Here is a 25,805-nt window from a genome sequence, read left to right as displayed (position 1 = left end):
GTGCCCCAATCCCAAAATGTGGGTGTTAAAGTTCTTTGATGGCCATTTCTCCGCCAGCCCATGGATGGCGTGGGATCGCTCACTGCAGTCACCTCCCTGAGGCTTGGATTCTCCATGTGGGGCACAACTCCAGGAATCAAAGGTCTCTCAGTCCCCAGCCCTAGACTGTTCACCTGGCCTCCTCTCTGTTCACTCTCTAATGGCCTCCCTCCCTGGAGAAGTACTGCAGGGGATTGAGCTACAGGTTCTGGCTGATGATCTGGGGGCCTGCAGAAGTGGGTACAGGTTAGTTCAGGTCATGGCTCAAAGCCAGTTCCCCAGAGGCCAAGGAATGACCAGCAAGATCCTTTCCCATGATGCCCTACCTGGCGCTCACCTCAGCAATCCTGCCAGAACCTGGGCAGTCATGGTCAGCCAACCAGCTGAAGAAGGTCAGGTAGGAGCTGTACGGCCTGCAGCTGGAGGCTTGACCTTCATGATCCCACAACCACTAGACTGCAGTGGAATGAGACATCCCGTATCCTGCAGAGAGAGGAGTCAGGAAGGTTCATGCCAGACCTACCCTCCCACACACCAGCTCCCCTACCATGCTGGGAGGCGCTCCTTACCGAGGATGCCAAGGCAGTACTCCTGAATGATCACTTCATTGTGGAAGTAGAGACTGTGATAAAAGGAAAACTTCATCCTGCTGCCGGTACCCGGAAGAGTTGCTTTCCTCCCCTTACCTGGCCAAGAAGGAGAAAGAGGACGTACTCAAAGGAGCATTTCATGTAGCTGGGGTGAGGTGACCTGTTAGCTGGGGTGAAGCATGTGTTTCTCCTTCCCAACTCTCTCATTGAGACACCCCCGGGTCCCAGGGGTACCTCAACCTGACCCAGACACCAGACCCCTCCCGAAGACTCAGGCTCCTTAGCCTGACCTGCAAATCCATCACGTACGTAGCTTAGCAGGACTTCATCATCATTTGTGATCCCGGCCAACATCTCGGTGTGCCGCACAATCTGCCTCTGGTCAAGGAGCCGCCAGATGATTGGGTGGGCGTGCAAGGAAACACCCTGCAACTTTGCAAGAGCACGGAGAGTGTGGGGCAGGGCACCTTCCCTTCCAGGTCCTCTGTCTCTGTCTGGCGTGGAGGGCACCATCAGAGCTGTGGTGGTCTTGGTGGTGGGTGGAGGCAGGCCCAGACAACCTGCTCTGACCAGGGACTGGCACTGAAGAAGTGGGCAGGGGGTTGGGGGCGGGGTGTTGTTGTGTGAGGCGACTACTTGCTCGGCGTTTCTGAGCTGCAGGAGGCCCTCCTGTGCTGGGTGCTGGACAGGCTCTGCTGCTGTCTGGGTGTGCGGTCTCTCCTTCTCCTGGTCTCCCTGAGGGGTGCACGTGTCCACCCCAGGCAACCGCTGTGGGTAGAAGTAGCTACGGGGCTGTGCCTGGCTCTCCCCGTGGAGCTCGAGTGGTTTCAAGGGAGCTTATATATACTCAGGGCCTAAACATCTTTGGGTGCAGCGCTGGCAGAGGGAAGAAATTGTGTCTGGGGAGATAGTGCCTGCCTTGCATAGGACAGCAGCCCCGTGCACAGTGACACCGAGTCTTGAGCACCTTGTGTTTCTGGGGTAAGCTTGCTGGACACAGGCAAGGGGAGCAGGGAAGTTCCGTGGCTGGCATGGGCATGCAGACTCCCCTTCCTCCAGGGACTTTCCCGGTGAATCGTATCCTTCAACTTTCTGCTGTTATGATGGGTCCTTGGCGCTGCTATTCTCCCTGGTGAGTGCTGTGCTTGGCTTCCTGTCCCTACCACATGCCCTCAGGGCACATGCAATTAAGCTGCCCTCCTATCTGCATGAGCCTGTTCTCAGTTCCCCTTGTTGTCCCCCATGCCCTGAATCCTGGCTGACCGCCAGTGCCTACCACCTTGTTTCCCCCCACCTCCGCTCCCGGGAGCTCCGCGCCCATCCCCTGCTGCCAACCATCCCGAATTGGCAGCTGCAAGGATATGGCTCTGGCCCAGAAGCCGGGGATGCCCTGTGGCCTGGGACATTCACGTAGCCGAGCTCCAAGTGAAGGACGTCCAGCGAGTCTGTTGCTGGCCGGGGCGTACTGGGGCCAGGGCCAGGCTGTGCCTGCAGGTCCTCCTGCTGTGGCTCCACATTGGCCTTCCTCCTTGGCCACCACCTCCATCTCTGCAATGATGTCATCCCCCACTAGCATGCCTCTCCCCGCAGGGTTGTCTTCCTGCTCTGTGCACAGACCATCCTCTCCTGCACAGCCTCCAGCCTTAACATGGTGCCCTCCTTGAGGCTCCAACAGAGCAAAGCCTGTGCCTCCCACCCCACCCCCCCGGCACCCGTCAACTCTGGGGGCAACTCCAGGAGAGGCCTGCGGGCCTTGCCCTGCTGAGAACCACATCCTACACCTATGTGGAACAGGGTTCCTGGGGGGCCCCACAGGGCCCTTAGCCTGTCACACTCACACTGGGGCTCAGCTACCCAGCAGGGTTAGCTGCGCACGGCAGCCCTGGAGTCGGATGCCAAGGCCCTGGCTTCCAGAGCCCCGCTAGCAGGCACACGGCCACCACTGCACTTGTGAGAGCCTCTGCACCAGCAAAGCAGTGCACACGGATCACTGCATTGGCGACCATGGCGGTAGGCCTCCCGTGTGCCCAGGGCACAGGATGAGAAGTCCTTTGGAATGCCCCTGTGAGTACAGCATCCTCAGGGAGGAACCATGGAACTCGGAGTATGTATTTGCCTAGACCTGACAGAATCCTTGCAGGGTTTCAGCTTCTGGTGCAGATGAATTCCACCTCAGCAACGTACCAGTCGACTTTAGTCCCACGCACCCGCCCTGCCCCAATCCCCCCAAGCCACCGCTGCTGCCCTCGCCCCTGCAGCAGCGCTGGTCCCTCTCTCTCCCCTCTGGATCTGCAATATTCGGTACCATCAGCCTAGCCTGCCTAATGAAGTGAGATGTTTCATGTGTTCCCTGTGGGTTAGTTAATGTCTTGCCACACTCAGGATGCCAGTTAGGGTGTAGGTCTTCCATGCCCACAATTGCAAAGGGCTCACAGTTCGCGTGTGCCTTAATCCACCGCGGCCCGCCACGCGGCACAAGCGTGGTCTCGGAAGAGTTACCGCGAGATGATGGAGCCGCAGGCCTGCTGGGGCGGAGCGGCCTCAGGACACGCCCACAGCCTTTGCAGTAACTGGCTGACGCCCACCGCCTTCGCAATGATTGGCCGCTGGAGGTAGGCGGGATTTCCGGGCACGGCTTCCGGCGTCCTTCCCTCTCAGGGTAGCTCCAGCTGTCCCTCCCGCAGTTGGCCCTGTGGTGTTCCGAAGCCGGTTACGTACGGCCTGAGGGCCAGGCGAACCTCAGGCTCTTTGTCCTACTAAAAAGCGCAGGTATTTTCTGTTTCTCTGGACAGCTGGGTCTCTCGGCAAGAATAGAAAGCGAAGGTTTGGGATTTTGTCTATAAAAGGGGATGGGTTTTCTATGTGTGGGTGTTGAATTACGGGAGGAGTCAGTGGGGAAAGAACTCCTCAGTGCTATTAAGAGACTCACTTTCGTTAAACTCATTGATTTTTCCTGAGGATTCTACCTTTAACTGCCTAATGTGTCCGACTAGTTGTGGGAGATGGTGCTAAGCCGCCATTGGTTTTCATGTGCACTTTTTATTAAAGCGGGTTTTCTCTGTGAATGTGGTGATAATTCAGAATACAGGCAATACACTTAAACACTGCGATTAAAAAGTCACACTTTTAGTTAGCACGTGTCGCGTGTCTGATTTGCTTGGAAGAATTATCAAATTTTGACATAAATTGTGTTACTTTAGTGTATGTAGAAATATGGGGCCACAAATAATCTGAGTTTCAGTTTGCCTCTGTAAAGCCTGTGATTGTCTCCTTCGTTGTATGACAGTATTTGAAACGTTTCATGTGTCTTTGGCACCGTAAATAGTTTAAACCGAATAAGTGGGTGTAATCGAGACAAATGGAGTTAGATAGCCGAAAACTGGAACAAAATAGATGCGCTTAAGTTATTCTGTTAACCTGGCACACTGCCTTACTCCTGTAGTCCTAGCATTTTGGGAAGTGGAGGTCGGAGGATGGCTTGAAGTCAGGAGTTTGAGACCAGCCTGGGTAACGTACTGGACTCTTTCATTGCTATTTTCGCATCAGGGACTGGTTTAGTGGAAGTCAGTTTTTCCTCAGACAAAGGTTGCGCAGGGGAAGAAGGCGGCGAGGTGGACAGGTTTGGGAGTGGGGGCTGGCGGCAGGCCTCCGAGGGGCACGTGGTGGGGCGGGTCTTCCGGTAGGAGCAATGTGACAGAGGCCAGGTGGGGCAGTGAGGCTGTCACGGGGACAGGGAGGGCCAGCGAGGGAGTAGGGAGGATGGTTTCCGGATAAAACTGTACCACCTCAGGTCATCCTCAGGCGTTACATTCTCCACAGACAGGTATTGCAGGTCATCCTCCGGCATCACATTCAGGCCACAGATAGGTACGGGTTGAAGGCTAGGGTTTGGGGATCTTTGACCTATTGTATATTTCAAATCACTAAAAGATGGTAAAATATTTAAAATATTCTCCTCCTAGAACATTTTAAGTAGCTTGATTTAATCTCTTATCCAAATATCATGCTGAGTGTGGTGAGTCACCCTTGAAATCCCATCACTTTGGTAGTCCCAAGCCGGCAGAACACTTGAGCCGAAGATTTGGAGACTAGCTTGGGCACTATGGGGAAACCCTTGTCTATTTTTAAAAATACAAAAAATTGCCCAGCTGTGGTAGAAAGCGCCTGTAGTACTAGCTACTTGGGAAGCTGAGATGTAGGAAGATCAGTTGAGGCTGGGTGGAAGAGCCTGCAGTGAGCAGTTCACTTTGGCGACAGGAGACAGACATCTCAAGAAAGAAAATATGCAAAACATCACACCGTACCTCATAAATAGATTCTTTTCAAATAAAATTATTTAAATGGGGACATTCTTCATATTGCAACTGAGGAAAATTACAATAGCTTTTCTTATCTAATTTTTAGAAATGAGATTTTTGTCAGGTACATACTAAAATGCAGCATTTGTCCATGAAGTTAGTGCCCCTTTGCTCTGAGTGTTACAAATTTTACATATATAAAGTAAGAAATACTAAAAAGATGTCAGCCTCAGGAAGGGAATTTTACTTGGGTTTTCAGCACAGTATGTAATAAAATTTTATCTTTTTAGCTTATTTATATCTAAATATAGATAATTTTTTACCATTTACAGCACAATGGTAGAAGCAGATCATCCTGGCAAGCTTTTCATTGGTGGCCTCAATAGAGAAACCAATGAGAAGATGCTTAAAGCAGTATTTGGGAAACATGGTCCCATATCAGAAGGTAACTCTTAAAACCGTGTGTGTGTGTGTGTGTGTGTGTGTGTGTGTGTGTGTATTTTCACATGTATATTTCAATAGGTATGTTTAAAATATGTATGTTATATATATATGTTTTGAAAAAATATATTTTTTCAAAGTTCATTGTATACCTACATTAAAATGCCTTATGCATTTTAAACTCTTATTTTGTAGTATCTGTTTGATATTTGGAAAATTCTCATAGTAGTAGGTTAAGGTTCTATGGAAAGGATAACCTACTACTTAGAAAGGAAAATGAGGGAAAGTAAATGTGCTGTGGAGTTCCGAAACAAACTGGAATAAACTAGACTGACTGTAGGGGTGATTGAGTATCGAGAACCATAATAGTGATGTGAAATGCAATTATTTTTTAGCTTGATGTAACCTTTAGATGGTGAGTACCTTGATGAGTCCATTATATGAATGTAAAATGTTTTCATATATTTTAGTTCTTTTGATAAAGGATCGAACCAGCAAATCCAGAGGCTTTGCATTTATTACTTTTGAGAACCCTGCAGATGCTAAGAATGCTGCGAAAGATATGAATGGAACGGTAAGAGTCCCTTATTACTAATATTCTAACTCTGTTCTTCAATTAACAATATTTCTAGGTCTTTTTAATATTGCTAAACTTTTGAAGATAGTAGAATGACATATGAAGCCATCCTCTTTTTTGTGCCATATACGTGCAAGTGTAGTTGGAAGGGTATTGGAATTAACATTATATAAATTAATATTTGGTAACCTTTTTCTATGTTTGTATTTCGATATGAGTGCACATAGATTTTAAAAGGTTTTGAAGAGCTTTAAAACTTATAAGGAACCCTCATGTAAATGAAAGTAATAAGTCAATATTTATTAAATGCTATTAATTGAAGTACATCCAATTCATGGAAATACTTTTAGAGCGTAGACAAACTGGATAGACATCTAGACAGATGCACAAGAAGGAAAGACTCTTTCCTTCTTGAAGAATATATTTTATGAAAATATATTCTTGCGAAAGTGTATTTAAATAAGACCTTTACATTTACGGAAAGGTTAAGTAGTTGAAAATAGAAAATAATATGAGAACATTGAAGTCAGATAACAGAAGAAGTAACTGGCATTCTTGGCTCCATGCTTGCTTTTTCTCCTAAGGACATTTCTTTCCTGTCACCAGAGTGATTTATGTAACATGAATAGCTAATTACTCATTTCCCCAGTGTGTTTGAGGACTTGTTTTGATTGAACCAATGGTCTCTTGTCCTGTTGAGTCTTAAATCTAGAGATTGTGTGTTTACTTAAGCTTTAAACTTCTGTGTAATGATATTAATTATTGAATTCCTTTACATTGTAGTCAAGAGCATTCCATTCTGTGCTCTTTAGTGTTTTTTGCTTTATAACATTATCCCAATCATGCCGGGCATGGTGGCTCATGCGTGTAATCCCAGCGCTTTGGGTGGCCAAGGCGGGCAGATCACAAGGTCAGGAGAAAGAAACCATAATGGCCAACATGGTGAAACCCTGTCGCTACTAAAATACAAAAAAAAAAATTAGCTGCATCTGGTTGTGTGTGCCTGTAGTTCCAGCTAGTCAGTAGGCTGAGGCAGGGGAATCGGTTAAACCCAAGGAGGCAGAGGTTGCAGTGAGCCGAGATCACGCCGATGCACTCCAGCCTGGCAACAGAGCAAGAATCCGTCTCAAAAAAACAAAAAATAAATAAAATAAATAAATAACGTTATCCCAATCTGTTTTTAGGTCCTGTTAGTCTTCACGCTATTCCCAAAGTGCTTTTTTAGACTTCTTGAGAATTATCCTTCCCTGTGTATGGCTCATAAATAAAATTTATGCTTCAAAAACCACTTAGATTTCATAATTTTCTTCCTCATTGCGTATTGTAGGTATTTTCTACTCGCTGTACTATGTATTAATCTATTGATCGTGAAATTGTATATAGTGCATATTTAAGTCTTGCTAGTTGCTTTTCTTTCTGTTACATCTAGCACACTTCCTGTCACATAGCAGAAAGTACATTTTTATTCACCCTTATAAATTAGTATTTCAAGCTGTGGTAGAAACCGAGAGTTGCTTTTGGTTCATGGCTTTGTGGTAGGTATGGAGATAATTTTGACTTCTGTATAGGAATCTATGATAATTTCTTTTTTCCCTCTAGTTTTCAAGCAAAAGGGCAGATAATTTGTGTAAAGTTTTTGTTCGTTTGTTTGTTTTTTAAGATGGAGACTCGCTGTGTGCCCTAGGCTGGATTGCAGTGGGGCCATCTTGGCTTACTGCAACCTCCGCCTCCCGGGTTCAAGCGATTCTCCTGCCTCAGCCTCCCAGTACCAGGGGCTACAGAGGCGCGCCACCACGCCCAGCTAATTTTGTACTTTGAGTAGGGATGGGGTTTCACCCTGTTAGCCAGGGTGAGCTCTATCTCTTCACCTCATGATCCACCCGCCTTGGCCTCCCAAAGTATTGGGATTACCGGTGTGAGCCACCGCGCCCAGCCAACGTTATTTCTAAATTACTTCATCTCACGTATTTTATTGTGTTAAAATAACTATGAATGTTGTATGCACATTAATGTTAAGATGGCCAATAAAGGAGGTTCTTTGAGTTTTCAGGGGGAATTAACAGTTAAGGAATTTTGGCTGACTTCAGAACACTGGGAAGGAAGCAGCCGTGGGCAAATCTGGGGAAAATATTTTGAGCCCAGAAATAACAAAAGAAGTTTCAAGGTAGGAACAACGGGCGATGTGGCTGCAAGCGGTCTTGTTCAGGGATTTAAGTCCTTCCTCCAAATAACAAAAGCCATGTAATTTTTAAATCGCGTTATTAGCTGAACTGTTTTCAAAAATTGCTGTGGCCTGTAGAAAAGATTACAGTGAAAAATGTTATTATGAAATTAATTAGGATAGTTAAGCATTTCTGAGAAATTACCTGAAGTACTATATTAAGATTCGTTTTTTAGGGGCACGTCTAAGGCAATGTAAGAAATGAGTAAGGCAAGAAAACTTAATGAGATCAAACAAGGATCACATTTACAGAAACATTTTTAGAGTCAATATAGAATTGTAAATCATATGGGGACATTTTATGGAAGTGTTAGCAAATCCAACAAGAAACAACTCATAATGAGTAATGTGCCTAATCACTCTGAAAAAGTAAGCTCATTTTTTTTTTAAATGACACGAGTTTCATTGGGACACTGCAACTTTCAAATCAGTGATGTGACTACAAAGATGAAGTGGATTATATATTGTAAAAAACAGATGTGCCACATTCTTCCACAGAATGTGTGATGGGTCAAACTTTTTTTTTATGTTTGAGTTTTTTTTTTTTTTAATGATGGAGAAGTTTTCAAGGAATTTGAATAATAGAATTTGTGTTTGATCCCTTAATGGAAGGCATGTGCTCAGTAACTATCTCAAATTTGGCATTGCGAAAGATGTGTTCATTTTAGAAGAAAAAAAAAGTTTCCTTTTGGGAGAAAATACCTCAAATTGAACTACAGTTGATGTAAAAATGTTTGTAAAATGTGCTTACGTTAAATGTGCCAGTGTTATTGATAGTACCCTTAATACTTCTAGTCTTTGCATGGAAAAGCAATAAAAGTAGAACAAGCCAAGAAACCATCTTTTCAAAGTGGTGGTAGGCGGAGACCACCAGCTTCTTCGAGAAACAGAAGCCCTTCAGGAAGTCTGAGATCTGCAAGAGGAAGCAGTGGAGGAACAAGAGGGTGGCTTCCCTCACATGAAGGGCACCTGGGTAATGTTTTAAAATATAAAGATGGAACCATAGGACTGAAAGAAAATAAGTTTGACGATATTGAAATTTCTTAATTTTTTTCTTTCCTGTATGAAGAGAAAATTAGCTTATTGATAATAAGCAAACTTATTTCTAAGTACTATAAAGGTGTATTATAAGAATGATTGAACTAATATCTAAAATTTGTTTAACAATTATAATAAGTTTGCACTGAAGTAACACACATTTGAAACTGAGTTGTGTTTGTGAATGCTGATTGCCTGTACTCAACCGGTTTTCTGCAGAACTCATTTATATTCATTATACTTTAGAGTTTTCTACTTTAGGGCCCAGAACTTCGTGTCAGTTGTATTATCAAAGTACGATGTAATATTTAAAATTTTCCAACAGGAAGAAGTAACTGAATACTGAAGATTGATTTTGCAGTATTTGTTTTCTTGTGTCTACATGTGGAAACATCTATGCAAATGTATTGCTTTGTAATTTTGATACAGAGAGTTTGTACATTGGCCTGCCGTAAAGCATTTTCAATTTAAGAAATGTAGAACTTTAATTTCTGAAAAGAGTCTGTGACTCTGGAAAGATCTAAAAACCACTGCTTCACAGATATGTATGAATCTTTCTTTGCTGGAGGCTGAGTCACTGAAAATGATATTTATGAGTGATTTACTTAATAGAAATGAGGGGTCCATCTTTACATATAAAAGAAAAACAAACCATATATTTAAAAAAAAGGAAAAAGAAAAAACTATTGGATGGGCTGTGCGAGGTGGCTCACGCCTGTCACCTCAGCACCTGGGGAGTACAGGGGAGGTGGACCACGAGGTCAGGAGTTCCAGACCAGCCTGGCCAACATGGTGAAACCCTGTCTCTCCTAAAGATACAAAAAAATTTGCCTGGGCCTGGTGGCGTGCACCTGTAATCCCAGCTACTCAGGAGGCTGAGGCAGGAGAATCACAGGAACCTGGGAGGCAAAAGCTGCAGTGAGCCAAGGTTATGCCATGGCACTCCAGCCTGCGTGATAGGGCAAGAGTGCATCTGAATAAATAAATAAATAAACCTGTTGGTTAACTTGTATTATCTATTAACCAACCTTCAAAACTCTAACAATTAGCTTGGAGTTTTAATAACCAGACATGTAATTAATTGGAGATTGTTTTCAAGTTGAAATTGCAGTGTTTGCTCCATTTTAAGATGCGTAGCTTCACGGCTGTTTTGCCTCCACTGATCTTGAGGGTGAGCTTCAATTATACTCTGCCACGGACGAGAATGTATACATAAATTCTAACCTGTAACACCACCTGGCAATTGGCATATATCTACGTTTTTGTAGATGTATAAAAATATGTTTATATTACCGAATATGCAATTCTTAAAGACTGTTAAAATTCAGCATAGTCTCATCTGAAAATTAGTGTCTCATAAGGGAATTTTAAGAATTCTATATTGTGTTAACAAATTTTAGAGACAATGTATTTTCCTGATATGTGATTTCTTGGTATTGGAAATATTTGAGTTTCTTTGAATGGAAATTAGTTTATCTTTATGATGTGCTTTGAAAATTTTTCCTCATTACAGAATGATATAAACAGTCATTTATCATTTTTCTTTTAATATTTTTATGTATATTATATTTGGATATTTTAGTGATAGATTTCTGCCCCCGTTCACTCCCCATTTTCCCACATCTCTCCTTCATACCGATATATTATGATACTTGAGTTTCTTTCTAGATTTTCTAAATGAACTTTTAATGCTTGAAGTGTACTAATACCTTGTAGGAATGCTAATTTTATTAGTTTAGACAAAATGTGAATTTGTTATAAAATGTAGAAAATATTTGTAAACAACTAAAACTTAGCCATTTAAGAAACAGTGACGTCAGTTAACTAAAAAGATTTTGTTTGAAATACAGATGATGGTGGATACACTCCTGATCTCAAGATGAGTTATTCTAGGGGACTCATTCCAGTTAAAAGAGGTCCATCTTCAAGAAGTGGAGGTCCTCCTCCGAAAAAATCTGCTCCTTCTGCTGTGGCAAGAAGCAATAGTTGGATGGGAAGCCAAGGTAAATGCTGCCTGACAGAAAGACCGTAGTTTTTGTATGACTAAAAATGAGCCGTTTTACCTGAATGCTTAGCTTTAAGTTCATTGAACAAAAGAGAAGTGACACATACGTGAGCATAATTACTGATTGATAGCTTTTATTATAGTTTCTATCTCACTAGGTACATTTCAGATTTATGTTGAAGAAATACTTGAGCTTCTCATTGCAGATCAAAGAAGTGATTAGAGTGAGGCCAACGTTCCTTTTAATCCTGTGTTGGCTAGAAAATTCCCCTTAATTTTTCTAAAAGTTCCTAGCAGTATTCTTTGATGGTAGGCTTCTTGATCTAATTAATTCTTCCATTTCCTAAGTCCCCTGGTGTCCCATTCTAAAAATTGCTTGTTCGGTGACTTTGCTGGGTTGGAGTCTTGCTCTTACTAGGTGAGAGTGCACTATGTGAGATGACGGCTTACTGTAGCCTCAAATTTGTGAGATGACGGCTTACTATAGCCTCAAATTCCTGGGCTCAAGCAATTCTGCTGTTTCAGCCTCCCGAGTTTGTGCAACTACAGGCATGCAGCAGCACACCTAGCTACATTTTTTTCCCTATGTTTTTGTAGAGAGAGGATCTGACTACATTGTCAAAACTGATGTTAAAGCCCGGGGCTCAAGCGGTCCAGCTGCCTCAGCCTTCCACACTCACTCACAGTGTGAGCCGCTAAGCCTGGCCATCCAGCTTCTGAGACCTCAGTAATGCGTATGTGCAAGGCATACTCACTGCGTGCATGAAGATTCAAAAGAACTACAAGAGCATTTAGCAGACAAGGAGTCATTGGGCTTAAATATGATTTAAAAATAAATTTAAGGCTCGAGAGGTAGACACGTAGGAGTCCAAAATTCTTAAATTAAGTGGATATCACAGAAATGCAGAGTTGTGAAATATAGGTGTATGTAAATCAGTAATTGAGATTGTACCGGGATGTTTAAACATTAACACAAGATCCTTAGTGTAAGATTTGAAATTATTTGAGGAGAGAATTTAGAACTAAGCAACATGAGGTGAGCGGTAGGGTTGAATGCAAGTAATACTTTTGAGAAGAATTGTAAGACTGCAGACTGAACAGAAGAAAATAAGACAATAAATAAAAGTTCTTAGCAAGGAAGTTTAAGCAGAGCAAATTAAAATTCTTTCTTAGTCCTCCATCCGCATATGGAGGAAGTTAAAAACTGCCATTTTCAATTTTACATTTCATACGTAGAGTATCGGTGAAGGGAGGTATTTATTGGCTTCAGGATACCCAAGCCAACACATTTCCATTGGAAAATTAGCCAGTGAAGGTATCATATGTGAAACACTGACCTCTAAGGAATAGCAAGTGAAGAATATATTAGAGGAGAAACTTTCTATTTTGAAACAGCAACAATGTTGTAATGACCCCTTGCATAGCATTGCTTTCTTTGCAGTAAAAGCAAATCTTGACCATCATTAGAAAATCTTCACTAATACATTTTAATTTGTCAACATTTAAGATAGAGCCAACCAGCTAAAGAACTTTTATGTAAACATTTAGCATATAGTCATTTAAAGGTAGCTGTATTTATGTGTGTGTGAGATGGACTGAATGATATTGGAAAATCTACCTTCTTTGGCTGAGAAAGGACAATGTATGTAAACTTTAAAATCAGTGAAGAGTTTGATGGTTTTACGTGTTTTCCCTGTGTCACTCACAGTCATCAGTAATTTATATGGAAAGGAAAATAATAACTAAGTAGTTATTAACCATTACAAATGAACTTTTACCTAAGCATTAATGTTTGCCTTCAGCTTCATTAGAAGAACTGGCCTTGTGGGAGCCATGGGATTATCCAAAGCCATGAGAAATATTCACAGTGTCATGTCTGTCTAGTAATTTAGGAAACAAAGAATGGAGTCATAGAAGAAATAATTTTAAAAAGTTGTTTGAGAGAAGAGAAAATAGCGTTTCAGATTTGGTGTTCTTTACATAATGTTCCATCATTTGAATGTTAAAGGTCCCATGTCACAAAGAAGAGAGAATTATGGAGTTCCTCCACGCAGAGCGACAATATCTTCCTGGAGAAATGATCGCATGTCAACAAGACATGATGGTTATGCAACTAACGATGGGTAAAGGAAAAATTAAAAAGCACAGTTGATTTTTTTTTCCTGTGGTGATGAAATTCACATAACAAAATTAAATATTATAAGGTGAACAGTTAAGTGGTGTTTGATACATTCTGTGCCATGCAACAACTACCTCCATCGAGTTCCAGAACATTTTCATCACTCCAAATTAAAACTCCTACTACCAGTTAAGCAGTCCCTCCCGTTTTCTCCTTTTCCTCAGCTGCTAGATAACACCAGTCAGTGTTCTGCCTCTGAACTTACCTGTTGTGGGTATTTAACGTTAATGTGCTCAAACACTACATGACTTTTTGTATTTGTCTCCTCTCCTTTTGCATGATGTCCTGAAGGTTCATTTACATCATAGCACTTCACTCCTTCCACAAGCTATTAACCCATTATTTTATCTGCATTGTTTCCACCCGAGTATTTCTACGCACCAATATTCGTTTGAGTATGCTTATTCGGTTCTGGGTGTATATGAGTGGAATTGCATGGTCCTATGATAATGATGTTTGTTTTCTTGAGGAACCACCACATTTCTCCATAGTAGCTGCATCATTTCCCGTTCCAACCTAGCATTGTATCAGCATTCCAATTTATCTACATCCTCTCAAACACTTGTTATTTCCTGCTGTTTGAAATTTATTGCCATTCAAATGTGTGTTTGAAATATGATATCCCATTTTGGACTTGAAATGCATTTTCTGCACCCATTAACTCATCATGCACATGTATCCTAGAACTTAAAGTATAATGAAACAAAAAGAAATGCATTTTCTGAATCGCTGAATATGAGTATCAGTCCCGTGTGCTTTTTGGGCATTTGCCGATTTTATTTGGAGAAATATCTGTTTAGATGTTTGGCCTTTTAATTTTGTTTAAGTTGTAAGTTAGTCATGTATTGGATACTAGAAGTTGAAAATTTAAAATTTGTTGCTTAAACTTATGCACACAGAAATCATCCAAGTTGCCAAGAAACGAGGGATTATGCTCCACCATCTAGAGGCTATGCATACCGTGATAATGGTCATTCTAATCGGGATGAACATTCCTCTAGAGGATATAGGTACTGTAACTTTTTCTGGATTTGTGAAATAGATTTCTTAAATTGCTCATTCCAACTAACGTTCTGTCAGGGCTCCAATTTATCTACATCCTCTCAAACACTTGTTATTTCCTGCTTTTGAAAATTTATTGCCCTTCCAGTGTGTGCGTATGAAATATGATATCTCATTTTGGATTTGAAATGCATTTTCTGCACCCATTAACTCATCATGCACATGGACCCTAGAACTTAAAGTATAATAAAAAAAAAAGAAATGCGTCTTCTGAATCACTGAATATGAGTATCTGTCCCATGTGCATCTTGGGCATTTGCCCATTTTATTTGGAGAAATATCCATTGAGATGTTTGGCCTTTTAATTTTGTTTAAGTTGTAAGTTAGTCATATATCGGATACTAGAAGTTGAAAATTTAAAATTTGTTGCTTAAACTTATGCATACAGAAATCATCGAAGTTCCCGAGAAACTAGGGATTATGCTCCACCATCTAGAGGCCATGCATACCGTGATTATGGTCATTCTCGTCGGGATGAAAGTTATTCTAGAGGATACAGGTACTGTAACTTTTTGTGGATTTGTCAAATAGATTTCTTAAATTGTTCATTCCAACTAACATTGTATCAGGGCTCCAATTTATCTACATCCTCTCCAACACTTGTTATTTCCTGCTTTTGAAAATTTATTGCCATTCATCTGTGTGTGAAATATGATATCCCATTTTGGATTTGAAATGCATTTTCTGCACCCATTAACTCATCATGCACATGGACCCTAGAACTTAAAGTATAATAAAAAAAAGAAATGCATTTTCTGAATCACTGAATATGAGTATCTGTCCCATGTGCTTTTTGGGCGTTTGCCCATTTTATTTGGAGAAATATCTATTTAGATGTTTGGCCTTTTAATTTTGTTTAAGTTGTAAGTTAGTCATATATCGGATACTACAAGTTGAAAATTTAAAATTTGTTGCTTAAACTTATGCATACAGAAATCATCGAAGTTCCCGAGAAACTAGGGAGTATGCTCCACCATCTAGAGGCCATGGATACCGTGATTATGGTCATTCTCGTCGACATGAAAGTTATTCTAGAGGATATAGGTACTGTAATTTTTCTGGATTTGTCAAATAGATTTCTTAAATTGTTCATTCCAACTAACATTGTATCAGGGCTCCAATTTATCTACATCCTCTCAAACACTTGTTATTTCCTGCTTTTGAAAATCTATTGCCATTCATCTGTGTGTGTGAAATATGATATCTCATTTTGGATTTGAAATGCATTTTCTGCACCCATTAACTCATCATGCACATGTATGCTAGAACTTAAAGTATAATAAAACAAAAAGAAATGCATTTTCTGAATCACTGAATATGAGTATCTGTCACTTGTCCTTTTTGGGCATTTGCCTATTTTATTTGGAGAAATACCTATTTAGATGTTTGGCCTTTTAATTTAAAGTTGTAAGTTAGTCATGTATTCGATACTAGAAGATGAAAATTTAAAATTTGTTGCTTAAACTTATGCACACACAAATCATCCAAGTTCCCGAGAAACTAGGGATTATGCTCCACCATCTAGAGGCTAGGCATACTGAGACTATGGTCATTCTAGGCAGGATGAACATTCCTCTAGAGGATATAGATACTGTAACTTTTTCTGGATTTATCAAATAGATTTCTTAAATTGTTCATTCCAACTAACATTGTATCAGGGCTGCAATTTATCTACATCCTCTCAAACACTTGTTATTTCCTGCTTTTGTAAGTTTTTTGCCCTTCCAGTGTGTGTGTGTGTGAAGTGTGGAAGCTCCTTTTTTATTTGAAATGCATTTCCTGAATCACTGATTATGAGTATCTGTTTCATGTGCTTTTTGGGCATTTGGGCATTTTGGGCATTTGGGCTCTGTGGGCATTTTATTTAGATGTTTGGCAATTTAATTGTGTTTAAGTTGTAATGTAGTTATGTTTTGGATACTAGAAGGTGACAATTTAAAATTCCTTGCTTCAACTCGTGCACGCAGAAATCATCCAAGTTCCCGAGAAACCAGGGATTATGCTCCACCACATAGAGACTATGCATACCGTGATTATGGTCATTCTAGTTGGGATGAACATTCCTCTAGAGGATATAGGTACTAACATGTTATCTGGATTTATCAAATGGATTTCTTAAATTGTTCATTCTGAAATTGAAAAGACTTTTTTTTTTTCAATTTAGTTATCATGATGGCTACGGTGAGGCCCTTGGTAGAGATCATTCTGAACATCTAAGTGGAAGTTCTTATAGAGATGCACTTCAGAGGTACGGTAAGGGTCCAGGATGGATTTGTAAATTACAGAATTTTATTTAATAGACCAGATTGTTATTTTAATGAAATTCTAAGGAAAATTGTAAAGGGCATATGCAACATGTTTAAATATTGAGTATTCTTAACAGTATAAAGCCTAGGGAATGATATGAAGGTGAGAACTTCAGTTAACGTTAAGAAAATGTGACTGAGCATTTACTTTAGAATTAAGTTTGTTAAGCTGCAAAATACTACTCTTACACTTCTCTTAAATAAAACCTTCTGACTATTAAAGACTTGATTAATATCCTGTCAACAAAGGCGGAGGAAAGCAGATATTTCCAAATAGTACTTTAACTAATTCATGCTTTAATGATAGCAGTAAAAATGTTTAAATGTAGTCCCACATATTATTTTACCAACCCTGCAGGGACCTCTCATGGTGCACCACCTGCAAGAGGGCCTCGGATGTCTTATGGTGGAAGCACCTGCCACGCATATAGTAATACACGAGATAGATATGGCAGAAGTTGGGAGAGTTACTCGAGCTGTGGTGATTTTCATTATTGTGATCGTGAGCATGTTTGCAGAAAAGACCAAAGGAATCCGCCTTCTCTGGGTAGGGTGCTCCCTGATCCTCGTGAAGCATATGGTAGCTCAAGTTATGTGGCATCTATAGTAGATGGTGGGGAGAGTCGATCTGAAAAAGGAGACTCGAGCAGATATTAAAGCAAGCATTGAAAATAATAGTTATTGCATACCAATCCTTGTTTGCAAATCAAAAATTGAAATGTTATTTCTGCATTGTTACCTGCATATTACTGAAAGAAACATGTTGGTTTTGTGGAGAGAGGTAGATACTAACTTCCTCCATGAATTTTTTGAGGTATTCAAAGGAAAAGGAATTGTTTTCAAAGTAATTTCATACTTGTTGATGCTATTTGAAAAGTGTTTAGATGTAATATCTACCTTAAAATTTTCACAATAAAATTTTACATGTACTGCAAGATGCCTGGTGTTATTGTTAGCCGCGCATGCTTAAAGCAAATTCAATAGGAGAGTAAATTGTGTAGTCTGTTGTACATTTTCCTTTGTTTGTTTGAACATAGGTACAAAATTAGGGATGTGTTATGTCGCCCTTGCAAGCTGCTCAAGTTTTCTAATTAGGCTGTTTCTCTTTAAAAACTAACAAGGTTAAAATGTTGGAGAAGTCTTCAGAAAGACTACAAAACCGTCTGCCTCACCATAAAACGTTTATTTTTTAGAGGAATAGTACAGGTCAAAGGAAATCATTAGATGTATTGATACTAAAGTTTAAGACATCCGGAACATTCTATGTGAAGCATTCTGTGACTGAAGAGGATAACGGTAATGAAAACTTTTTTTTTTCACCTAAATCAGAAGTGAACCAGCTAAGTTTCTCAGGCGCGTAGCATAATGAATTTAAATGTTCGTAGTTTAAATAGTGGAAAGTAAGTGTTTTGTCTTGTGAGGTTCCCACGTTAATTTTTTCTTGAATATTTTGACAGTGGATGTTGTAAGTAATGGTTTAGTAATATGTTCTTACAGATAGGAATAATCTAGAGTGGTTGGGATAGTATCAGTTTTTTTTGAGATGAAGTGTACAGCTTTGTCGCCGAGGCTGGGGTGCAGTGGCTCTGTCTTGGCTTATGGCAACCGCTGCCTTCTGGATCCAAGCTATTCTCCTGCCTCAGCATCCTGAGTAACTGGTATTAGATATGTGTGCCGCACAGCGGGGCCAATTTTTGTATTTTTAGTGCAGACAGCGTTTCACCTTGTTTGCCAGGCTGTTCTTAAAATCCTGATCCACCCTCCTCAGACTCCCGAAGTGCTAAGATTATAGGCATGTGCCACCACTGTCAGCCTATCGTATTTAATTGATAATATGAATGGAAACGCTTTAAACCTCATACTTAGGGGAAAGTGAAGTGTATAAAACATAAACAACAGCATAAAGTTTCCGACGGGATTGCTTAAAGTTTTAAGACATCACTGAATGATACAAATATTTAGACCGAAATAACTAAATGAATTAATTTTCCTGATTATACAAACTAAAGAAATGAAATACATCAAGTTCCAGAAGTTTTGCAGTCCATAATTCTTACAATTGACAGACTAATCTGCAAGGAGGAAGTATTTTCTTGAAAAATTTTGACACAATCATCAATTTTTACAGGGTAAGGGTACAAATAATTTTAAAGGGAGAAGTTACCAACTTTGATTTTCAAGTGAGTTATTCATGTTATGGAGTGTTTTCATTCACCTGTAGCATTGTGAGGATGAAGTGAAAAGATAAATCTCCCGAGTCTTGTGTATCTTACTGTCCATGTGTGACGGCTCAGGTCTCTAATTCTAACACTTGGGGAGGCCGAGGCTTGCAGAGCACTTTAGGACAGGAGTTGAAGACCAGGCTGGCCAACACCATGAAACCCCATCTCTACCAAAAATACAAAAATTAGCCGGGCATGGTGGTGCCTGCCTGTAGTACGTTGCAGTTAATTGGGAGGCTCAGGCAGGACAGTGGTTTGAACCTGGGAGCCTGATGCTGCGGTGAGCCGATATTGCACCATGCACTCTAGCCTGGGTGACAGAGTGCGACTCCAACACAAAAATAATTATATCAATGAACAAATATATACATAATAAATAGGGTATCCTTCAGTTCAAGCACTTACCGATTCTTTTTTCTTTTTTAGAGACAAGGTCTCACACTGTTGTCCAGCCTAGACTGCAGTGGCACCATCATAGCTCACTGCAGCTTTGAACACGGGCTTGAAATGTGCAAGCCTTCCATTTCAGCCTCCCAAGTAGCTGGAATTACAGACACACACCAACCACCGTGCCCAGCTTTTGTGTTTGTGTGTGTGTGGTAGGGACAATGCTTTGGATATATTGTTCAGGCTGGTCTCAAACTCCCAGACCGAAATAATCCTCCTTCCCTGGCTTCCCAAAGTGTTGTGATTATAGCCGTGAGCCACTGAGTCTGGCATATCTTTTCTCATTATGAGCGACATTCCACCTCACTGAGTCTGGCGTATCTTTTCTTGGTATCAGCGACATTCCACCTTCGCTCTATTAATTATTTTGAGATGTACAATAAATCATTATTAAGTGTAGTCATCCTGTGCCACTGAACACTAGATATTATTCCTTCTAAGCAAGTATAATTTAACCCACCCCCATCCCCTCTTTGATCCCTCGCTTACCAGTTCACATTACTTGTATCAAAATATCACATGTATGCCAAAAGTATCTACAACTGTTAGGTACAAATTTTCATTCCCTTCCTCCTTCCCTCCCTTCCTTTCTTCCTTCCTGTCTTTCTTTCTTTTTGTCTCTGTATCTTTTTCTCTCACTGATTTTTTTTTTTTTTAAGAAAGAATCCTGCCCTGTCACCTAGGCTGGAGTGCAGTGGCGTGATCTCAGCTCACTGCTCCCTCCTTATCACGGGTTCAAGCAATTGTCCAGTCACACCCTCCTAAGCAGCTGCGACTGCAATCATGTGACACCAATCCTGGCAAATATTTTGTATTTTCAGTAGAGACCAGGTTTCACAATATTTGCTCAGGCTGGTCTTGAATTCCTTTCCTTTAGTGATCCACCCACATCAGCCTCTCAAAATGCTGGGATCCAGGCATGAGCCACAGTGCCCACCCAGTGGTATGCATTTCTCTCTCCCGTGATCTCTCCTATTTTATTATTTTATTCTCTTTTTATTTCTGAGACAGCGTCTCGCTCTGGTGCCCAGGCTGGAGCACAGTGGTGTGATCTCACTTTACTGCAAACTCCATCACCAGGGTTCAATGGATTCTCCTGCATCAGCCTTCCAAGTAGCTGGGATAACATCCACGGGCCACCAAGCTTGGCTAGCTTTGGTATGATACTAGACGTGGCATCTTGTCATGTCTAATTTCGTATCTGTTTTAAAGCTCGATTGATAAGCAATATTGACTTCCTGGAATGTTTTATGTTTACAAAACAATTATAGTACTACTATTTAGCCTCCTCAGATAAAATATGGTAACACACAAAACATACACACACAGACAAAGACACAGTCAGTGATCAAAAAAAATCAGTGTAGGCCACGACCTAAATGAAAGGTGAGCTGCTGCAGTTGCCTAGAATTAAAGCAGACCAGAGTTGACCCATACCAGGCTGAGAGATGTGAACAGAGGCTTTCCAACAACTCTATCAGATACATGTTAGATTATTCTCCAGCCATAGCGAAGGGACATTAAAGATCTGTTGTGCTTAGAAGAGTCTCGATGATTTGACTTTTCCAGGGTATTAGCATTCATGATGTTGGCCTTTACAGCTCTCTGCAATGAAGTCAGTAGACAACACAGTTTTTCTAGGAGTCTAAAGTGCTTTTCAGAATTATCTAAAACTTAGTGGCTTAAAACCATAATTATAATTTACTAACTGTCAGTCTCTGCAATCGCCCTCAGTCTCTCAGCCAAATGAATGTGGTTCAGGGGCACTCAGGAGTTTACAATCTAGTGACGGCTCAGGATGGGGACATTGTCAGGTGTCTTCTCATCTCCCTGGTGCCATAGCTAGCATAACTCAAATTGTGGGGCTGGACTGCTGAGATTCTTGGGCATCTCCTTCTATTTCTATGCATCTCTCCATGGGATGTCCCTACTGCATAGTGTTATCAGGGTGTTAGACTTCATAATGTCCTGGTCCATGGCTTCCAAGGGGTTTGTCCCCATGAGAGCAGGAGACTTAGGCAGAGCTGTATCACCTTGTCTAACCTAGGCCAGAGGTGGCCCAGTATCCAGAAAATGCTTTCACTGTTTTCTATTAATTAGAAGCAAGTACTGTGTTCAGTTACATCAGGAATAATTTCAAATTGGTTTGTGAAGAATTTCAAAGTGTATTTTAGACCACTACTGTGGCCATGCCTAATAATTACTTATTTTTTTAAGTGCTGGATGGGTTTTACCCAACGTAATAGCTGATACAGACTTTTAACCTTGAAACCTTTATGTAATAGCTCCAAACATTTGGTTATATGTTGAAATAACTCTCAAGCAAAAATTGATTTTGAAATTAGAGCTACAAATCTATAAAACAAATGAGATAATGTCATAAATATCTGCATGAAATGCTTATAAAGAGATCAGCCTTAAAAATATTATGAAGTCTAATATGCCACTCTTTTACTATTTCTATGGCTATTACTTGGACAGGAGGACAAGGACTCAGGGGTCTGCTGGTCAGTCTCTGGACCTTGAAACAGTGGCTGGGGCCCCAGGAGTAACACTTCGGGCCATACCATGTAGTGAGGATGAGGAGTCCACCTGGGTTAAGGGGAGTGTCACTATATATATCGCTATATGAATATATATATATATATGTACACACACATATATAAAACACTATATCAGAAACTCAGTAGTCATAGTAAAATCAAAAAATAATCATAGTCAATTTGATCTCATACCTAGACTGAAATATGAAACTTCAAAAGAAAAGAAAGTTAAGAACTTTGGGCTTGTCAAAATTTTCCTACATAGATACAATTATTGGTGACTTTCTTTCACTAGAAAACATAAACAAACATCCATGTTTTGTATATGTGTAAATGAAAATATTTTTATTTCTATCAGTTGTGACATGCAAGCAAGTAATAAAGTGAAAGTACAATAATAAATCATAAAATTATATAAGGACATTTCTGTGTCAAAAAATTCCATTGAGACTATTAATTTTATAAAACCATAGAGAATGCTTCATGAAACTACATTAAATAGTACTTTTTAGTATTTCACTTAATTTTAAAAGTCAACAAATTAAAGGAAATTCTGAATCATTATTTCTTACCAATATCATTATTCTACTCAACAAATTCTTTTGAGATTAAATATTTTAAATAAAACATTAAAAACAAATTGTATTCACTGATACCAGCTTTTGATGAAATAATACTTCTGTATTTGTAATCATGTGAAATATATCTTTCTCCTCACAATGGATCTTTTATAACACCAGTGTTATTATTTTCTCTGATAAAAACCCTGTGATACCTCAGGGCTTTACTGTGTCCATACATTACATGCCTCCAGAGAGTAGGCTTCAAACAGATGGAAAAATTATATTTGTGACAAAATTCTAGGAAAGGGAATGATAAAATGGGAGAATAATTTCTAAATTTCTAACTGTTCATCAATGGATTTGGATATATTTAGATATAGACAAATATATGCACACTGCAAGTTTGCACATGTGTATATAAATTTATATGAGATACCCATAACGTGTGGGTTGTATAATCTTTTAATTAATTCTCAATTTTACATGTGGAAAACTTGATTAAGTGTTTACCCTCATCAAATACTCAGTTTGAAGTACTATACTCAATTTGATGTAAAGCCAGCAAAATCTCTGCCAACATTCATTTCAATTAATCCAATAATGTTAACTGTTGATAACTTCATTCTCCTTGTCCCCTGTTAACAGCTGAAAGTTGATTCTCACCCTAATTCAGCAATCAGGGTGTCATCCTCAAGAGACTATCACCTTGCTTTGGATTGTGACCTCTGACTCCACCACTTTCATCCTATAGCAGTCCTACCTTTGTGTATTTAATCAACTTTGTACATGGTTAAAAAAATAAAAGTGCAGTGAAATGTCAGGCCATGCTGTGAAATGTTCCAGTGTTTCTATATCTCAAATTGACCTTTCATGTTATAGAAGATAAGAAAAACAATTCATTTCTTAGTATTCAGTCCAATGCACCCTTTCTTATTAATATGCCAAACCTGTCCCTTCAAGGCACTGACATCCAAGCACAGCTAGACGTATCAAAATTTATTCTCAACAATAACCATTATGTTAATAACTGTTGCCCAGATCTGGACCCTGCCTGTGAAATCTTTGGTTAGAAGTTGCTATAATGGCTCAAGCTAGGGGAATGACTATTTTTTTTGGCATAATTACTGCTGTCATCTTACTGAAAAAATATCACATTAGATGACAGCTTTTAGTTAGATCAATTCTGTTGATTCATTTTTAATGTCTATCATTTATGATATTGCACAAGTAAAGATCTTTGATAACTTAAATGGTTAACTGAGAAATGACTAAAATAACTCACAGCAATTCAAACATTCATTTACTTACTAGAAGTGCCATACATCATTAACTTCAGATGAAAACAAAGTTGGGAAATTGTGAGTGCTAAATTGCTTACTAAAGTATGTATTTCAGGGTATTTTATAAAACTATCCATGCCACGTATGATGCTTCACCAGCAAGGATAAAGCTTTAGCCTATATAAAAAATAGTCTTTGGTTCTTAATACATCTGTACATTTGTCTCCATAGCCTCAAAACAAGTCACCCATGTACTTGACTTTCAGCTGAGTTGACTACCAGTTATTAGGATTTAAGCAAACAGAATAAAGATTTCAAAATCTGGTGACCAAATATGAGAAATCACACTCTCACCATAAGTAATAATTATTCTCAAGTGCCACTGCAAATGCAAAACTGAAAGAAGAAATTAAGTCTAATATATTGCAATATTCTAAAATCTAAAATTTCCTCTTTGAGGTCTGGTTGTTCATGCCTGGAATTGCAGCTCTCTGGGAGGCTTAGAAGGGAGGACTGCTTCAAACCCAGAGTTTGACAGCAGCATAGGCAACACAGCAAGAACCATTTTTAAAATGTAACTAAATATTTAATTAGTTAAATTGGGCATGATGGCACACATCTGTTGTTCCACTTAGGAGTTCACAGTTGTAGTTTGCTGTTATCACACACTGCATTTCAGCCTGGGCCATGAGGCAAGACTTTGTCTCTACAAAATAATTCAATATAAAAAACAAAATAAATTAAAATAAAAACACTTTCAGGTGTTTTTTGGAAGTTTGTATAATTGCTCTAAAAGTAGAGACATTGTTTAAAGTTGAGCAGTCAATGGGGGAGTGGAGAGTGATTGTTTATATTGTTTTCCAGAAATTAGGATGAATGTATTATAATGTTATATATAAATATCTAATAACCTTTTGTGCAATAAATGTTGACAAATGTCAAGCCATTGTGTTTATAGACTTTTCCTTCAAAATATTCATAGTTTAATTGGAGAATGAAGAAAACAGCCATAATTGGAATGTACTCTGGCAAGTGTTACAATATATACAATTTAGTAACTTAGTTGCAGAGGAAGGAAGTTCTTAACTGCGTTAACAGGGGTGTGGAGAACCTTAGGGAAGGAACAATTGATCGCATCTGTAAGGATACAAATTTTCGAGAAGAATGTTTGCGAGAAAACGTTGTAGAGAAAAAAGAAACATTCTTTCTATCAATGATAGAAGTACCAACAGTGCATATGATGCCATCTGCCGAATGCTTAGAGCATTCTAGCTCAATAAATATTTCTTGAATGAATCCATGAATGGAAGATATTGGGAAAAGGCTTCTGGAAGGGATCATTAAAATCCTATAAAGGGAAGGTAAATACCCTGGACTTTACAATTTTGCCTGCTTTTGTTTATGATCTTTTTATGTTTACTACCTCACAAGCTGTTTTACTTTTTGGTCTTTTCACGAATATCATGAATGAATCATTCCTGAGAGTAATTCTCTCTTTATCTCCTGACACTGTATTTGTCTCTAATACTCCTTTGTGGGAGGCCCTGGGTTTGCATGCCCACAGCTATATCACTCCCTTCTCCCTGGCACTGTTCTGTAATAGAGAGAGGCCTGGCCCCAGGAAGGCATGGTTCCTAGGCTCCTATAAAAATTACTTCTTGTTTCAGTTCAGTCAAGGGGTGACACTGCAGAGATTAGAGAACAAGAAGATATGAGAAGTCAGTTTGTTTCCTTCTCTTTCTCAATAAGGGATATGTTTCTGCAGTGATTCCATGCCTACAGGACATGCTCTCTCTGTTTTCATTTTCCATATAGTGACCCTAATCCCAGACTGGCTCTTCAAATGCCATTTTCTCCAGTTGTCATCTGTAAAGGATTTGGGTACTATTTTGGAGTTTTAAATTTAAAAAATATTGATATGGAAGAGGGGCAGAGAAGTGCCTGGTAGAGAAGGCTGTGGTTCTTGGCTAGGGCTCCACCATCAGGCCTGTGCT

The 25,805-nt window shown here is 39.9% G+C and overlaps 1 protein-coding gene and 1 pseudogene across 6 annotated transcripts; one reads left to right on the top strand and one right to left on the bottom strand.

Moving 5' to 3' along the window:
• Positions 212-2,383, bottom strand: TSPY23P (testis specific protein Y-linked 23, pseudogene; annotated as a pseudogene).
• RBMY1F (RNA binding motif protein Y-linked family 1 member F) lies at positions 3,310-23,348 on the top strand. Of its 6 annotated transcripts, NM_001382382.1 has the most exons (13): positions 3,310-3,398; positions 5,260-5,372; positions 5,839-5,942; positions 8,962-9,139; positions 11,055-11,207; positions 13,218-13,332; positions 14,288-14,398; positions 14,839-14,949; positions 15,384-15,494; positions 16,418-16,528; positions 16,615-16,703; positions 20,437-20,583; positions 23,177-23,348. In NM_001382382.1, exons 2-13 carry the CDS (start codon positions 5,264-5,266, stop codon positions 23,185-23,187), a joined length of 1,350 nt encoding a protein of 449 aa, NP_001369311.1. In that variant the 5' UTR covers positions 3,310-3,398; positions 5,260-5,263; the 3' UTR covers positions 23,188-23,348. The 6 variants fall into 6 exon arrangements, with proteins under 6 accessions (NP_001369311.1, NP_001369312.1, NP_001290339.1 ...); NM_001382383.1 differs by lacking the exon at positions 16,418-16,528; NM_001303410.2 differs by lacking the exons at positions 20,437-20,583; positions 23,177-23,348 and adding an exon at positions 17,115-17,691 and having other exon boundaries at positions 16,615-16,698.
• Positions 23,349-25,805: the final 2,457 nt, after the last annotated feature.

This window comes from Homo sapiens, chromosome Y (assembly GCF_000001405.40).
Source record: "Homo sapiens chromosome Y, GRCh38.p14 Primary Assembly".
Taxonomy (NCBI): Eukaryota; Metazoa; Chordata; class Mammalia; order Primates; family Hominidae; genus Homo; species Homo sapiens.
Note: the sequence above shows the minus strand (reverse complement) of the source record. Positions and strands in the feature narration are given on the sequence as shown.

Bases quoted from the DNA above. Each gene is read 5' to 3' on its own strand.
- RBMY1F (NM_152585.3), top strand. From the start codon at position 5,264: ATGGTAGAAGCAGATCATCCTGGCAAGCTTTTCATTGGTGGCCTCAAT. The intron at 9,140-11,054 runs GTAATGTTTTAA...TTTGAAATACAG, and splicing joins CTCACATGAAGGGCACCTGG to ATGATGGTGGATACACTCCT. The intron at 16,704-17,114 runs GTAAGGGTCCAG...CCAACCCTGCAG, and splicing joins AGATGCACTTCAGAGGTACG to GGACCTCTCATGGTGCACCA.